The sequence below is a fragment of the Homo sapiens genome, chromosome 2, assembly GCF_000001405.40.
Source record: "Homo sapiens chromosome 2, GRCh38.p14 Primary Assembly".
Classification (NCBI taxonomy): domain Eukaryota; kingdom Metazoa; phylum Chordata; class Mammalia; order Primates; family Hominidae; genus Homo; species Homo sapiens.
Window position 1 is genome coordinate 11694911 of NC_000002.12, and position 17799 is coordinate 11712709.

The 17799-nt window shown below is 48.5% G+C and overlaps 1 protein-coding gene across 3 annotated transcripts in view, besides 1 other annotated feature; it reads left to right on the forward strand.

The window, feature by feature from the left end:
• LPIN1 (lipin 1) overlaps positions 1 to 17799 on the forward strand; it is a 149866-nt gene that overhangs the window by 17367 nt on the left and 114700 nt on the right. The gene's annotated exons all lie outside the window — the stretch shown is intronic.
• Positions 1684 to 2532: an enhancer, noted in NCBI's record as "H3K4me1 hESC enhancer chr2:11836720-11837568 (GRCh37/hg19 assembly coordinates)". NCBI's record gives its function as "activates a minimal SCP1, AML or CMV promoter by ChIP-STARR-seq in naive H9 embryonic stem cells {active_cell/tissue: H9 hESC(naive)}" and the evidence as "EXISTENCE:reporter gene assay evidence [ECO:0000049][PMID:30033119]".

A 17799-nucleotide genomic window follows, 5' to 3' on the forward strand; every position in this document is an offset into this window, starting at 1 on the left:
ATTTTCTCCACCCATTTTTCTCAGCATCCATGAATCTCGATGATCATCCATCATCTGGGCTGTCACATGGCTTCTTTGGTGCTCCTGCCCATGAAATAAATACCTGAAAACCAAGGCCCCAGGTGGTCATGAGGCTACAGTTCATTCAATTCAGTCGCTGCAGAATATTTATTGAGAGCCTATGATGTGCTGATGACTGTGTTGGGAACTTGGAGTACTTTGGTGAACAAATCTGCCAAATATAATATATCGAACAAAACAACTCAAAAGTAAACACCGCCTTCATGGAGTTCACATGGTGGGCAGTTCATAAACAATTAATATAGTAAATATGTAAATGATAGAACATGCCCAAGGCTAAAAGTGCAATGGAAAAAAATGAAGCAAGGTACAAGGACCAGGGATTCGGACAGGGAAGGGCCAACCATGGTCGGCAGCTTCATTGAGTAGATGAGATCTGAATGAGACTTGGGGATGAGGGAGCTGGCCATTTGATTTTGGAGGAAAGGAGTTGCAGGGGGAGGAAAAGCCAGTGCAGAGGCCCTAAGGTGGAGTATTTGAGGAATATGAGGAGCTCAGCATGGCTGGAATGGAGGCAAGAGAAGGCATCTAGAGATGCAGTCAGGGTATGAGGGGGAGGGGAGGAGCAGATTGGTTAACTTCAGGTTCTTTCCTCACATGGGTTAAAGCAGAGGGGATCTCCCTATTACGCCAGCTTAGGGTAGCTGGGCCCCTTTTGACTGATTGCTGTGAAATTCTGTTTTTTTGTTTTATTTTTGTTTTTGCGGGTGGCCAGAGGGAAGCTGGCCTGTTTAAGGATTTGGCTATCATCTCTGTCTTGATTTATTGGCAGTTCAGATCTCACAAGGAAACAGCTTAGGTTTTGGTTTGGTGAGTGGAACCTTAGCATGAGTGACTCCATTTTGGGTTGGTCTGTTGGGACCTAGTGCAGGAGCTCAGTCCAAATCAGTATCCTCCCATAGATTTTTTTGACCACTATAAATGTGGTCTGAGTTTTGAAGTATAACTGATAAAACATGTTTCTCCTCTCTACCCAGTGGCCAGGCCCTTTCCCACTGCTGTGAGGTCGGCAGCATCCTTCACCATCCTATGGCTCTGACAGTTGCTGACTCTCCTTTTTTTTTTTTTTTTTTTTAATTTTACTTTAAGTTCCAGGATCCATGCGGAGAACATGCAGGTTTGTTACATAGGTATACGTGTGCCATGGGGGTTTGCTGCACCTAATGACCCGTCCTCCAAGTTCCCTCCCCTTACCCCCGCCCCCAAACAAGCCCCAGTGTGTGGTGTTCCCCTCCCTGTGTCCATGTGTTCTCATTGTTCAATTCCCACTTATGAGTGAGAACATGTGGTGTTTGGTTTTCTGATGGGGTTGCTGACTCTCGAATGAGCTGCTCGAGGGAAGGATAAGGTGCAGTTCATGCCAGAATCCCCAGCTTCCCATGCAGGCTGGGGACATAGTGGGTTCTCCTGAAATACTGGGTCACTTGAATTTGATATGATGTATATATATTCACCTCTAGTCCATAGGTACATATAGTCTATATATTAAAAAGACATTGGATTTTGACTTAAACTAGATGTTTCTCAAGCAGCACCAAGACGGTGCTAGAGCCTGGGTTTGGCCAGAGAATTGGGTCCCGGTCAGAAGTGAGTGGGGATGGCTGGCGAGCAAGGTGTCTGTAGGGCAGCACAGGATGTCTGGTGAGCAGACAGCAAGCTTCTGTCCTGCCCCGAGTGCTGAGGAGCGAGGTGACTGCCTACATGGTGATGCAAAGATTTGGGCACGCTTCCGGCTTTCAGGCCAAACAACTCCTCGCTTGCTCCATGGCACCACTGATCCCAGCAGTGGCCCGAGGGAGCTCCTTCCTGCTGCTTCATGCTCTGACACTTTGGGGGGCTCCTTTCCCCACCACGTGGGTCTCCTGTCAGCCTCGAAGTGTCCTGCGCCCCTCCCTGGCTACGCCCAGGTGTGCCTCCCCTGGCCGCACCTCCTCTGTGCTCCTGCGTCTCTCTGTTCTTCTTTAGAGTGGTTCTGCACGTCAGCAGCATCTGTGGTGTGGGCCTGGGACCCTTCAGAACAGGGGCTCCTGCCCAGCCTCTGGGTCCCCCACCTGTGGCCCAGGGAAGGCTCTTTGTTCCTCAGCCCCAAGCTGTATCTGGTGAGAACAGATGCGTAGTCCCGGAGCTCAAGTTCTGGGAAGGGCAGTGCCCTTTTCTGTGGGGCCCTGGGCTTGTTCTGCATTGTTTCTAAGAGGAGCTGCCACTCAAATAGGCAGCCCTGCAATCGGAGGGCTGCGTGCTCCCCCTGATCAGCCCCCAGCTGCTTCTGGATACAACCGCACTACCCAGATGCTTCCTGGCCTCGCCCAGCTCTTGTGCTCCTGGCAGCCCTGAGCTCTGTCTTTGCTCCAGGCTGGAACAGCAAGCAAGCAGCTCCTGGTGGCCTGTGGCCAGTGCAGGAGGAACAGGAAGCAGCCCCCGTGGGCCACTGTGGGGCTGCACCAGGAGCTGTGCTCGGCTCCTGCTTCTCCCTGGTTTGGCCTAGAAGCTGGAAGTCTGCCCGAATCTGTGCGTCGTGTCTTGGGAATTCATCCCTTCCTCCCTAGCACTTGGGTGCCCAGTGCTTGCTGAACCGTGGTGACCTGCTGACTCCTTCCCTTGCCTGCCACTGGTAGTGACCTGGCCTGGGGACAGGGAAAGGACGCCCATTCATTGGCAGGGTGAGTGGAGAAGTGCTTGGTGGGCTGGTTTTGCAGCCACTGAAAACCTGAATCACACTGAGTCATCCTGTTGGCCTTGCTGGTGTGTGAGTGCTGGCAGAGTCTGGGTACCAAATGCCCCGGGCCTTGTGTCCTTCCCCATTTACAACCCCCTCCTCCCCATCTCACCAGGCCAGGGAACAAGCCCTACCGCACATTACATGGAAGCGAGTGTGCTCAGAAATGCAGGTTCTCCCGAGGGGCAGCCCTCAGTCACAAGCCAGACTAGTCACGCACCCCCGGCTGTGGGTGGCTTCCTGACCCAGAAGTGCCCAGTTTTGCCTACAGTCCTGGTGGAGCCGGTGGTGGTCAGAGAGTTTCACTGTCTCCAGCGCTGTGTTGTCGTTTCTGTCAAGCGATGGGCCCATTTCTGTCTAGAGCCCCTCTCTCAGGTCCTGATCCTGCTGGGATGTTGGTGTCTGTGACCCAGAATAGCTCAGTCAGGGGTGTGCGGGGCGGCTCCGGTGGCCATCCTCACTTGACGTCATGGCAAGCCCTGACTCAGGCTGTCTGTTCTCCCCTGGCCGGGCCCAGATGAGCCGCACGTGGCCCTCATTCCTGACAGCTTTGCTGCAGGTTGCAGCTGTCTCAGGAGACCAGATGCTTTGGGAGAAGGCACTGGATGTACTTGAAGTCAAGGGGCTGTGTCCGAGTTCTGTATTTAAAAATCCTCTTTAGAGTCAAGGCTTCTGTGACTGGCTGCCACGTCCTACGCCTCTTCCGGGAAACGTAGGAACAGCACACAGTAGCAGGGACAACACCACGTGGCTCCAACAGTTTCAGAAACAGCTGTTTCTTCATGTTCCTGGTGCTATTTCTGCAGAAGAACCCACTCACGTGTGAGCTGGTGGATCAGGCCCAGGTTGTTAAAAGCTGGTCTTCTAGATTGCCCGACACCATGCCTCTGAACACGGAGTGAATTCCTTTCTTCCGCGTTATGAAATACACAGTGTTTTTATCAGGACTCCCGCTGCTGGGCACTTCTATTTAAACAGAATAAGCTTTGTTGATTAGGGTCCTTCTCATGTGGAATCTCTGGTATTTTGGACGAGGTCAGGGCTTTGCACATTTTGTGAGCAGAAGGTGGGTCAGGGAACTTAGGAGTCTAAATGATGCCTATCAGCTGTCTCTCTGGTGTGTCAGCCTGAGCCAGTGGTTGGCCTTGGGCCCACTGCCTGAGCTCACACCCTGCCTGTAGAACTTGTGCCTCCTTCAAATCAGCGTCCCCTTTGGGGAAAATATATGGAGGCCATGAATCAAGCTTGGCCAACCAATGGTCCGCTGGCCGTATGCAGCCAGGGATAGCTTTGAATGTGGCCCAACACAACTTTGTAAACGTTCTTAAAATATTATGAGATTTTTTGCAAAGAAACTCAGTTTCTTCAATTAAAAAAAATGCAATTTTATTTTGTTTGTTTAGCTCATCAGCTATTGTTAGTGCATTTTATGTATGGCCCAAGACAATTCTTCTTCCAATGTAGCCCAGGGAAACCAAAAGATGGGACACTCCTGCTATAAATCAGTAACGGGTCCTCAGGAACTATTGAACCCCCATTTACATGCAAAATGTTTGTACTTGTTAAAATAAATCCACATAAGGACCTTTCTAGGGAACACTTTCTTGCTGAGGATAAGTCCTTACATGTAGTTGAAAACAGTGAGATATGTCATAAGTTGATGTCAGGGTCGACCCACAGCTTAGACTTGACCGGCGCCCTGATGTCAGCGGGTATGGGTATGGAGTCCCTGGGGGGGGCGTGCGGAAGAAAGAGCAGAACAGGGAGGAAACAGACACCAGAACGCTCACCTTTTACGGTGCTAGTGTGAGTCATGGGAGCACCTTTCCTTCTCGGTATGGTTTCGACACCTGTTAGATGCAGCCTCTCTGGTGAAGCCATGTCGCCGAGGAAGCATGAAGATGGTCTTGGGTATCGGTTGACTGTGTGCAGTCACGCCAGCCACTCACTGTTTCCTTAGACATTCACCATCGGACGAAGGGTCACTGAGTGACCACCGTGTGCTGGGCTCTGAAGAACAAGAAGCCTGAATCTGGGGCTGCTTTTAGGGAGCTCCCAGCCTAATGGGGCACAGGCAAGCAAAGTGATATAAGCAAGGGCAATAGAAATGACTGATTCCGCCTGCAGGAGACGGGCTGGGGGAGGGAGAGGAGCCGGTTGGCTGGACAAACGGTAAGCTGTGTGGCTTTGGGAAAATTACTCAACCTTTCTGAAACTCAGTTTCTTCAATTAAAAAAAAAATGGGATGTAATACCCACAGCATTTGGAGAACTAAATGAATTGACTCTGGGAAGCACCTGGCACAGCCCTTGGCACATGGTAGGTGTGTCTTTCTTTGATTGTTATTCTAGGCAGAGGAAGCTGCCTGGTGGCCATCTGTCTGCCTTGGTGCACAGGGTGAAGTCCCTGCAAGTGAGCCCAATGGCCTCTGATAGCCATCCACGTGTCAGGTGTGACTCAGGTTCTGGAAGGCCTGTGTCCATTGTTCATAGTCACCTGCAATCCAAGAACCCACTCTTTCCCAGGTGAAGCCTCAAGAGTCTGCCCAAGTACAGAAACATAGCTTTGCATCCCAGGGTACTCTTAGACTTAAACAACCTCAGTCAGGTGGTGCAATGCCCAGTGTCTATGGGGCATCTCCCTTCTGGGGTGAGCTGTGTATTAAGGCTGCCCAGAACACTGGTTTGTGTGACCTTCACAACCTGTCTCATCCTGACCTCTGGTCCATTGCACTATTTCTCATTTTCTCTCTCTCTCTCAGCTCTCTCTCTCTCTCTCTCGCTCTCATTCTCTCTCTCTCGCTCTCTCTCCCTCTCCCACTCTCCACCCCTATGGGCTTTAGTGCCAGCCCCAGCGCAGGCCTCCCTGCCTCTCTGGAGGCAGTATCACAGATAAGGAAGGGTGAGGGCCTTGGGGCTGGACAGGCCTGGATTCAGTCTCCACTTGGCCACTTCCACAGTGTGTGGATAGGCTGTATGAAGCCGCTCTGAGCCTCAGCATCTTCATTTCCAAGCTGATGCTAATTAAACGTCCCCCTGGGCAGAGAGAGAGGCTGAAGGAAGGTATAAGTATACATGCCCAGCACAGCACGGAGCACACGATTCGTCCTCGCTCTGTGGCAGCTGTTGTTACCCACATCCCTCCACCTCCCCAGAGCCACTCCATATGCCTAGGCTCCCAGACAGCTCCTCTGCAACCAAGACTTGGGTCCTTTGTCACTGTCCTGGGCGGGATACCTCAGTGGAGCCCTCAGTTCTCAGCTCTTCTCCTGAATCGCAGAGTCTAATCTCTGTGCAGCCTCTCCCTTCCTTGGCCCTGCTCCCCCTCACTCTGTGTTCTGGTGTCCTCACTGGCTATAAGGCCAAGGTTATTCTTGTCTCCTTGAAGCCTTTGCTTCTTGACACATGCTCCCTTTTCCTCCTGGTCAACTCTTACCTGAGCTCTTCCCAGATGTCTTTCCTGACCCCTCCCCACCTTTCTCTAGGAGGTTTTTCCCCTCCTGGGTACCTGGCCCTTTGTTTGTGCCTGCATGCAGCACGCATCATGTTGGATTACAGATACTAGTTTCTGCATCTGTTTTTCCTGCTTGGCTATGAGTAACTCAAGTGATCCTGTCTTAGTTATCTTCGTAATTACCCCACTGATGAACTCAGTGCCTAGCACAGGTCATGACACCTGATAGATGCTCAATGAATGTGTGACTGGACTTGCCTAATCCAGTCCCTGCTGGTCTCTCTGCTCTGAACCGTGACAAACACTCATGCTTGTCACAGCGCCGGCCCAGGTGGCACACACAGTAGACTCTCAATACAAATGAGTTAATGCATCATACTGTTGCTATTTAGTTCTATGTTTCAGTAGTAGTAGTAATAAAAATATGACATTACTGAATGCATACTATGTACTAGTTTCTATACTAAGTACTTTACCCTCATTCTCACTTAATCCTCACGACAACAGTACATCATCATCTCCATTCATGAAAAATGTGAAGCAAAGAAAAGTTAAATGACTAGGTCGAGGTCACACAGATAGTGCCTAGTGGGCCTAGGATTTGAGCTTAACCAGTCCGATTCTAAAGCCTGTGTGTTTAGATTACAGAAAGCTGCTGGTATTATCCGTGGGTGTAGCCGGGGCTGCCATGTCCTTTCCTACTGGCTGAGTGTCTGTTTGGTTTGGTCCGTGCTTGTGCTAAAACTCTTCCTGAACTATTCTGTCTAATCCCTCCTGCGTATGTCAACTTTCTGACGTCATTGTGCTCATCTCTGCTGAGTTCTGCCTTCTGGTCTTGTGGCTGTCGGATGCCAAGTGTCTTAAGAGTACTAGAGATTTGTTTTAATTGGGTATGGGAAGACAGACAGGAAAATGACTTTCACGAAGGAGGAAGTTTGTGGTGCTCACGGGTCCCTAAAGACAGGAGGCACGCCACGTCACACAAGGCCACATGGGGAAGCACTGGGTTGGTCACGAGGCAGAGAGAGCAAAGGGAAAATGTGGACAAGAGTCTTTATTGTGGTTTCTGTGGAAAGGAACAGGTGAGGCAGGGTAAACGGGCTTAGGGCTGGCTAGTGTGAATAATTTCAGTGGGTTCCGGAGTACACAGGCTGTCCCTAGTTGTCTGATCCCAGGCCCTGGGGTGAACAGCACAGTGGATAGTGGCCCAGAGGGTGACGTCCTGACAAAAGAGGTGATTGGGGTCTGGGCTCTGGACTGGTTGGTTTGCATGTGAAAGGTGCACTCACAGACAAGGCCTGGCCCTGGGAAGGTCTGCAGGCCAGCCACACCCTGGATAGCAAAGCATCAAAATACGGGAGGTAAAAAGACACAGGTAATATGTGAGACAACGCGGATGCTTGAGAAAGGGAAACCTTGACTGACTTGTCATGGCCTAGCTAAGAAGGAAATCTTCATGCATGCCCAGGAGGCTTTTTGCAATAAGGACTGCACAAAGAATATGCACTATGCTAACAGTAATGTTAGCAGGGCAGGCTGGGTCAACCTCCCCTTGCTCTGACCTCAGGTCACTCTCAGTCTCTATCTCTCTGTCTCTGCTTCTCTGTCTCTCTCTGTCTCTCTGCCTCTCCCTGTCTCTCTGTCTCTCCTCACTATGGCACAAGCTACTCTTGTTTGCCAATCATTTTTATTGCCCTTCTTCTCTCCTAACTCTCACGTGGATCCTTTTCTGAGTCTCGCCATAGACTTGAATATCTCGCACCTTATCTTCCCCAGGGAGACAGATGGAGATGGAAGTGTGGATGACCGCCTCCCAGGCTTGGATATTTCTGCAGCAAGATTTCTCCAAAATGAGTTACCTGACATGCAAATACCACTATTTGCTCAGTAAGAAAGGGGTTTCAAGATTAGAGGTTTTGGCAAATGCTTCATTCTACATTCCCTGTTAGAGACTGACAATGTAGTGATGTAATAAAGGCATTGAAAAACTACTAGGGAAAAGTCATCTTTATCTCTGTTTTATCTAGTGTTTCCAAATGTATCTGACCCACCATGGAACTGGTTTTTGCATAACACTTACTTCTAACCCATGAGAAATCCTCTGGGAGCTGCTGCCTGCTGGGGGGATTGGAGTAGGGATAGCGTGGATCTGAGTTGCCCACTGCCTGGCTCATAGTGACCAATCCTAGGCTTAGAGGGCAGAGGTTCAGGGTGCCCAAGGAGCCTGACGCAACTGCTCTGAGAGCCCTGGGGTCCAATCTTAACCTGTTCCTCAGTCATACTTTCTCCTTGTATAGACACATATACATGTGCATACATCTCTGGTCTGCACTGGCTCTTTTCATAAATAGGCAAGGAGGTGATAAAGCAATAGGATTAGATTTTATACAGAAGGACTTGCCTCATTATTTTGCCATAAACATACACACAAACGGGCACGTATCAAACTCACGGAAGTACAAACTGTATAACAGGCAAACTCATAGACACCTGCAAAAATAGACACAACTAGTCTGTCCTCATCATGATACAAATACATAGATGCAGTTACACACAGAAACACACAAACTAGACCTGCCTCCCTTCCTCCTCCCCCCACATACATGTTCTATTCTAGTTATCCCTCCAAAACAAACTGACTCAAGATTTAGTGGCTTAAAACAATAATTATTTTATTATAGCTCATGATTTAATGGGTCAGGAATCTGGGCTCAGCTGGGTGATTTTTCTGTTCCTCATGGCATTGACTGAGATGACTCTGCGGTATGTGACTGGTGGATGGGCTGGCCTGGAAGGGTCAGGATGGCTTCCCTGACCTGACTGCTGCCTTGGTGGGGGTGGCTGGAAGGCTCACCTGGGACCATTGACAGGATTCAGCACACAAAGCCTCTCAGGCTTGGCATCTCATGGTAGTCAGACCTCTTACCTGGTAGCTGGCATCCCCCAGAATGGGGAGGGTGCTTTAGGCTTCTTATGACCTAGCCTCAGAAGATGAAGAATGTCACTTGTCCTGCATGTTATTGGTCAAGCAAGTCACTTAGGTTAGCTCAGATTTAAGGGGAGGGTTATGAGACTTTATCTCTCAACGGAAGGAGTAGCAAAGAATTTGAAGCCATCTTTAATCTAATATATGCACACACATGCATCTCATGTGAAGCTTAAGCCTTCCATATTGAACTCACTTTTGTGGTTGCATCTGGGCCTGAAATAGTGGCAACTGTGAGGCCCCACCCGGGGGAGGCAGAGCGGGGTAGCACATCACCACCCTGGATTGTGATGTGTCCAGTGGGATATGAGGCTTGGGTAGCAGCCCGCACTGGAGGTCACTTCTAATGGGCAGAGATTTCTATTCTGGGACTTAAATTCAAGTCCCTTCCACATACTAAATCTAGTTATATCTAGGGTCTCTTCTATGTGGAGTGTCCATGAAGTCTGGAATCAAAGATTGTGCTAGATACTCACTAGAATCACAGAATGTTCTAGCAGGAAGCACCATGCATCCAGCCCCTCATTGTACACTCAGGGACAATGAGGCCAAGACAAGGGGGTAAATGTCTCACAGTCACACAGCTGGGATCCCCAGCCCTGGGTCCTCTATCTCCCCGGGATCCCCTGCAGGGCTCTGCTCCATGGAGTTTCCTCTGCCGGGGATCCTGCTATCTGAATACCTCCAGAGGCCACACACACTTATGTGTCAGATGTCTGGGTGAACACTGGACACTGGGGACTAGCTAGTCATCACTGGTCAATGGCGAGGCCTGGAGGAGCTCACCTCTCAAAGTGGCCAGGAGGACATAACCAGGAACAGAGGAGAACTTCCACATGTTACTTGTGGGAACTTCCACTGGTTACCGGCCACAGGATTGATCAGACAAAAGCCCAAGGCATGAAGCCCCTTGAGGGCTACAGAGATCAATACCACCTTCATCTTTTTCACTGGGAAAATTTGATGAATAAAGCCATCTCCAGCCCCCTCCCATAAATAGTAGCCTGAAATGCAGATGGTGTGGTGTTGTGGCTTTGAAGTCAGTCAAACTTGGGTCAAATCCCAGCTCACCCATCCCCCAACACTTTAGCTGGGTTGCCTCGGCCAAGTCCTTTGACCTTCTGAGCTCAACTGTATATTGAAAAAAAAATCACCTTTATTTTTCCATTCAACAAGTGCTTATTGACTACCGTGTGCCAGCCACTGCTGTGAACACAATGATGAGACCAACAGGCACTGTTCCTTTTGAAGGATGCTGTCATCAGCTGAGTACGCAAACAAATGTAAATTTGCAAACTGCGCTAAGTGCCATGAAGGAGCTACAACAGTGCCCTGTGAGAAGGTGCAGTCAGGATGTGAGCAGGTTGAGGAGGCCAGGGACAGCCCCTATGAGGAAGGGACACTTGGCTGTGGCCTGGGGGGTGAAGAGAGGCTATCCAGTGGAAGCGTGTCTCGGACAGGGAGAGTAGCATGTGCAAAGGCTGTGGGGCTGGATGTAGTAAGCTGAATAGGAGGGGTTGAAATGCTAGTGTGACTGGGCCAGAGAGATCAAAGGGAGCAAGTGGGAAATGAGACTGCAAGTGTGGGTGAAAACTGTTCACCAAGTTCAGGAGGGTTTAGAAAATTGCATGCTTTTTTTATATTTACTTCTAAAAGCAGTGGGAAGTTATATAATGGCTTTAATCATAGAGGTGACTGATAGGGTTTGGCTGTGTTCCTATCCAAATTTCATCTTGAATTGTAACTCCCACAATTCCCATGTGTTGTGGGAGGAACCCAGTGGGAGGTAATTGAATTATGGGGGCAGGTCTTTCCTGCACTGTTCTTGTGATAGCGAATGAATCTCGCAAGATCTGATGGTTTTAAAAATGAGAGTTTCCCTGCACAAGCTCTCTCTTTTCCTGTCGCCATCCACTTAAGATGTGACTTGCTCCTCTTTGCCTTCCAACATGATTGTGAGGCCTCCCCAGCCATGTGGAACTGTTAAATTCATTAAACCCTTTTCTTTTGTAAATTGCCCAGTCTTGGGTATGTCTTTATCAGCAGTGTGAAAATGGACTAATATGGTGACATAACCAGATTGTGTTACAAAAAGAAGACTTCGGCTGCAGCAAGGCGAGTGAACTGCAGGGTGGTACAGGGAGGTGTGGGCAAGCCCATTAGGAGGCAGGCAGAATAGTGGTCCCCCAAAGATGCCCCATCCTCATCCTTGGAACCTGTGAATAAATTACATTGGGTGGTAAAGGAAAGAATGAGGGTTGCAGTTGGAATTAAGGTTACTCATCACTGGCCTTAAAATAGGGAGATTATCCTGGATTACCTGGGTGGGCCCAATGTCATTAGATGAACTTAGAGAGTGGTCAGAGGTGCACACATTAGAAGCATTCAAACTGCCCTTGCTATCTGGGAAGATGGAGGAAGTACTATTAAGCTCATTTTATAACTGAAGAAATGGAACTTCTAAGACATAAGGTGCTCAAGACCTACTCAAGACCAAGCATTATTAAATATTATAACAAGGGCTTAGATCCAATTCCCTTGAGTATGAATTCTCTTTCCATTGCCATGATAATCTGGGGAACTCCCACCAGGTTAGAGCTGTGTGACCTTGAGCAAGCACTTACCCTCTTGGAGCGTGGGGTGAGGAGGTGGTCTATATCTGGGGGCTCATTAACTAAAAGATGTTTCTAGGTAATCTGACAGGTTTTTGAGACCCCTAAAATGATGTGCAGGTTTCTGGGTGAATGTGCATTTTGTGGAGAGAGGATTCATAGCTTTTATCAAAATATCAAAAGGGCCAAAAAGAGCTCTTCCTCCCAGTTCTAAAACTTTATGACTGTCATTAAAAAGTGGAAATAGCTTTGGTGAAAGAGCATGGGTACTGACTAAACGTTACCTTTGTAGCAATTAGCCATACAGCACCTCTTAGAGCCTGTTACACGTGAGGCATTATCACAGGTGCTGGGAGTATGGCAGGAGAGAAAGGAAGGTCCTATATTTTAGTAGGAAAAACAGAAAACAAAGAATAATGATCTAACGTCAGATACTGATAAAGTGCTAAGAAGAAAAAGACAGCAGGGTAAGGAGACGGGGGATGATCAGATGGACCAAGGAAGTTCCTTCCAGGAAGGGTCACTGGAACAGAGACCAGCATGAAGTGAGAGAAGGAGGCTTAGGGAGAATCTGCCAGGCAGAGGAACAGCTCATGCACAGTCTCTGAGGTGGAAGAAGCCACCATGGATGATGAAGAGGTGGCAGGAGGTGAGTCCGGAACCGTGGCCAGACCCCCTGAGGCCACTGTAGGGCCCTGGAATTTACTGAGCAGACCGGGGAGCACGGGAAGTTTTGAGCTGAGGAGTGGTGTGATCTAACATTCCAGAAGGTTCCTGTGGCTGCTGTGAGGAGCAGAGCTGATGAGGAGCAGAAACAGACTGGCTGTGGAGCCATTGCTGGAGCTGCGGGAGAGAGCAGCGTGGCTGGGACTGGGTGGTGGTGCACGCACGGGGAGAAGTGCTCGGGGTCCCCCACTGGAGGTGGAGCTGCAGGATTTGCTTGTGACTGGATGTGGCTTGGGAGGGGAGAAAGGGAGTGGCTGGGGCCTGTCCCAACCAAGCGCTGCTGCTTCTGTGAGCACCACAGGTGCTCACCTGCCTGCTGGGATGGACCTTACCATTGAGCCAGGCATGATTACTTCCTTCAAATGACTCTTCTGATGTGTTTCAATGATGAGTGAGTGGTCTCCGCTAATTATGACTGGGTAGGCCCCTTAGAGAAGCCTGGCTGGACTTCAGGAGTTTCATGTGAGAAAATCCTGGGGAAGTGAACTGAACTGGGCTTCACTGAGAAAGATCCTGAGTGATGATCACAGTTTCACATCAGATCCGCATCCGAGACCAGCTGTGTCAGGCAGTGGGGCAGCAACCTTCACCTAGACCCTTGGAGGTCATCTCTCCTAACTAACAGGACAGAGAAGGAAACTAGGCCCTAAGAGGAGCAGTGATCTGCCTTCAGCCACCCAGGGAATGGGCATTACCCTTCACTGTTGGCCCCCCGACAGCTGGAATCCAGCAGCTTGACTCTCATCAATTTCACTTTTTGCCTACTGCACTGTGGCCTTCTCTTTGGAATGCTGAGTCAGCACAGAGGAGGGTGATTATTTGCCAAGGGGGGGACTCTGAGAAGGCCCCATGGAGAGCTGGGTTTTGAGTCATGGAAATGACTCCAAGGACAGATTTGGGTGGAGGGTCAACCTTCGACTGGGAGGAAGCAGGGGAGCCTAGTCACTGAGATGGGAACCCTGTACATGTCCCGGGAGTGGAGAGTGAGGCATGGGAGAGGAGCTGAGGCAAGGGGGCAGGCAGGAGTGGATCATGCAGGGCCATGCATGCCAGACCTGGGCCTTAACTCCTGGGCAATGGGGAGCCATGAAAGGTTTTCAGTGGGGAATGATGTGGTGTGATGTGCTCAATGGAGCAGGAGGCACAGGAGATGGAGACCAGCTGTGTTGCACTTGGCCAGTTAGGTACCCTTGCTTTGGTATAATCCAGGCATTTGATACGTAAGAAAGCTGACCCAAAGAGGGGGAAAAACTTGCCAAAGTCACCCAGCAAGCCAGGGTTAGAGTTAGAACCCAGTTTATCCACCTCTCAATGGGAGGAAGGGAAGGTGATGATGATGATGTTGGTGATGATGATGACAATGATGATGATAACGAATATATATTGAGCACTTGACATTAAGTATCTTCTTTAATCCTCACAAGGGCCCTATGACAAAGCTACTACTATTATTATTGTTATTATTGTTCCCCTTTTATAGAGGGGAAATGGAGGCTCAGGAATATTAAATGAATTGCTCAAGACCACACAGATGGTAAGTGGTGAAGCCAGCATTCTACCCTAGATCATTCTACACAGTTTGACTCCAAAACCCATGCTGGGGACCACAAGTGGTTATCTCATCAGATTTGCCAGAACTGTCCCAGGAGGAGTCCTCTTACATAAAACATCATCCCTTTCACCCCATCTCCCCCCTACTCAGAGCAAACCTTCCTTTATCCTCTTCCTTTATCTCAACAGAGGGTACCAGGCTACCAAAGAAAGGGGGTATCATTGTTGGAATCATGGTGTAGGAGGGTGTATGCATGTAGATGCAGAATTTTGGAGATGAAAACCCTTAGAAACCACTGAGTGTAACTCGAGCCTCCGTTAGATGGAAAAACTGAGACCCAGAGAAGGGCGGTACCTTGTCGATGCCTTGCAACAAGTTAGCGACACCAGCGCTAAAGCCTGGATTGCCTGATCCCCAGGCCAGGGTTCTCCTCTCACATTTTGGACAGTTCCCACACATTCCTGGAATCCTCCATTGGACTGTGAATGGGTTTTCCCATGAAAGCAGACTGTATAAACCAACCATAATGCTTTTAGGTCCCGAGTTATATGCTGCCATTGTTTCTTCAGTAATGCTATAGTTTTCTCTGCCTCTCTTGTCCTGGAAAAGCTGACTTTGGTAGTACCGTTTCTATATGAAAATGTTACCCTGCTTTTACAAAAATCTACAAATGAACGTTGGACAACCCATTTGTAAACTGGGAGCAGCCCACGACTTTGAGCCTGATAATCTGGAAACATTACTCTCTGAATTCTCTCTTTTCCTTCTGTGTTTGTGAGATTTCTGCTGTTTAAATGTTGCACCATCAATGAAACAGCAGCAAGAGCTTTGGAGTCCCACAGACCTGAATGTGAATTTGGACGTAGGCTCCAGATATGTGACTTCCAGCAAATCATGGCAAGAACGGTAGCAGTGAGCCCAGCTACATGAAGATTACAAGGAACTGTGACCTGGGTCTTAATCTTAATGAGGCTGTGATGGGAATTCAATTTCAGCTTCATTGAGTATCTGCCGTGAGCTGGTCACTTTCAAGTACATTTTCCATCTGACTCTCATAGCAGAACTTACATAGCAGAGTGAGATTATCTTTCTCCTACCCTTATAAGGGTAGTAATCCAATTTCTGAAGGCTCCATCTTCATCACCTAATCAGCCCCCACCTTCTGCAAGACCACACCTCCAAATACCATCACCTTAGGGATTACAACTTCAATATATGCATTTATGGTGGCAGGGGTGTGGGTGGGGACACAAATATTTAATCCATAGCGTCACATAAGTCTATGTTAAATGAGAAAGAAAAGGAAGAAAGAAATCAAGACAAACAATAGAGTTGAGAAGGAGGTTAACACAAGCATGTGTTTCATGGAGTCTGACTCACACCGAGAACAGGAATGTGGCTCTGGCAGCCAATGCACTGAACAAGGACCTGAACAGTCATACAGCTCAAGGTTCAAGCAAGGTAGAAGCAAACCAGCTGCTCTGAAGATGCTCACCTACTTCTGACCTTGAATCTTCCACTTCATGACCTTCATCCAGGAGTAGCCACTGACATCTGTATGGTACGTTACTGTTTTCACAGTATTCTGTCTTTTGATTCTCACATCAGTTCTATGAGGTAAGTATTTTATTGTTAGCCTTTCTTTAGAAATGAGAATATTGAGGCTTAGAAAGGTAATTTCTTGCCAAAGGCCACACAGCTCCTAGTAGAAGAACTGGAATTCAAAGCCAGGTTCATTTTTGGCTTCCACCGTGACTGCCAACTGCTTGATGCCAGAATCCAAATGGCTGAGCTTCACACTTTATGTTGGAATTTTGAATTACAACAAATAGTTGTGGGCAGAATGAGCCTATTTTCTACTTAGCTGTGAAAGAAATTATTGTTGAAATATACTGGGTCACCATTTTTGGTGTTCTTGTGTTTATATTTAATCTCTGAATTCAAACCAGACTCTTGGGGGTCAGAGATATTGCTCCTCTGGCAGTCCAAGAATATATCTTGTATTTGATTTAAAACTTCATTTTGAATCAGGGCCAAATCCAAACACTGTGAATTTAAACTGCTGGCAGCCTTCCTAGCCTACCTCGTGAGTGCAAAATCAATCCAACTATTGTACACAGAGAATTCTGGTGCCCGTGTGACTGTGTTGGTGGCCCCTGAAGAATTTGGGTTGGATGGTCCAGAATATCTGTACCCAAGTTGCATGACTTTTTGCAGCATGCTGAAATATTCCACAGGAGCTGAAATAGAAGCAGCAACTGGATTCCAAGAAGTGTTTCAAATGCATTGCTCAGTTGAAATGAGGACTTCATTAGCTGCCATATTAAGCAACGTATAGATGAAGAAATCAATGGCCTTACCCCTGCTACCCCAGCAAGGATCCAGATTGGATACAATCCTATAACACACATCTGCCTTCTTTCCCTGGTTCTGTCTTAAAGGAAAATCTATCCTTTTTATTTTGGGTGTGGTTCCAAGAGACTAGAATATTCCTCCCTAAATTCATCCCTCTTGCTTTCCTAATTTAGTGAATGATATAATCATCTACCTAGTCACCCAGACTAGAAACTTCAGGCATCCTTGAAAATTCCCTGTACTTCAACCCCCCAATCCAAGTTGCATATCATTTCCTGGTGATTCCATCATGTGGTTGTGTTCAGAGCTCATCTTCCTCTTTGTCCCACTGTCATCACCTTGGTCCATATCCCAGCGATCCTTTGCTAGAATAACCTTCAAATTCACTTCTCTGCCTCGAATCCATCCTCCATGCGGAGGTCAGTGTGGTCCTTGTAAGACACAGATTTGATCATCCCTCTCCTCCTCTGTAATCCCCAGTGGTGCACAGTGACTGCTCTCACACTGCTCTGAGAGCCTCAGGTTTTCTGTAGCCAAGACTCCAGTCCCCTTCCCCATTTGACCATAGCCATTTCCCTTTTTTCTAATTACATAATGTGCTCCAGCAAGAGTTGTTGTTTGAGGAGGGCATTCTTAAAAAAATGAAACTGGCCGGCTTAGAGCACAAGGCCAGAGGTCCTCCTGGGAGCACGCGAGGCCTTCGCCATGCCGGCCTCACTCACCCCTGCCTCCTTGCCCCCTGATCCCCCCGGCATCCCCTTATGCCCACTGCATGTGCTCAACTACTCTGGAATCATGAGGGGCACCGTGCTGTTCCCAACATATGTGCGATGACTTTGTTATTTTGAATATGCTCTCTGCTCTGCCTGGAGCGGCCTTTCTTGTCCTCTCCTCTCCCAGAGTTCCCACTCACCCTGCAGAGGCAGTTCAACTGTCCCCTCCTGCAGAAGGCACGAACCTTCCCTACATTCCCCACAGGCAGATGCTTGGCTGCCTCCTCTGTGCTCTCTCTGGACCCTGGGCATATCTTGATGGTAGCCCTGGCCACAGAGATCTTTGTTACTTGTCTTCCTGCCCTCCACTAGCTTATGAGTGACTTACGGACAAGATTTGCATCTCATTTGTTGCTGTGTTCCCAGTACCTAGCGAAGTACATGACCCCTAGAGCTATTCTATGTCATGATGTAAAGCAACACCATTAACTAACAGTCAGTCAACAAATATGTGCTGGAAAAGCTAAGTGGGTCAGATGAATATGAGGTGGGGTGCAGGGCCAAGGAGGAACAGGACAGGGGAAGAGGTTTAGGGGCTTCTGGGG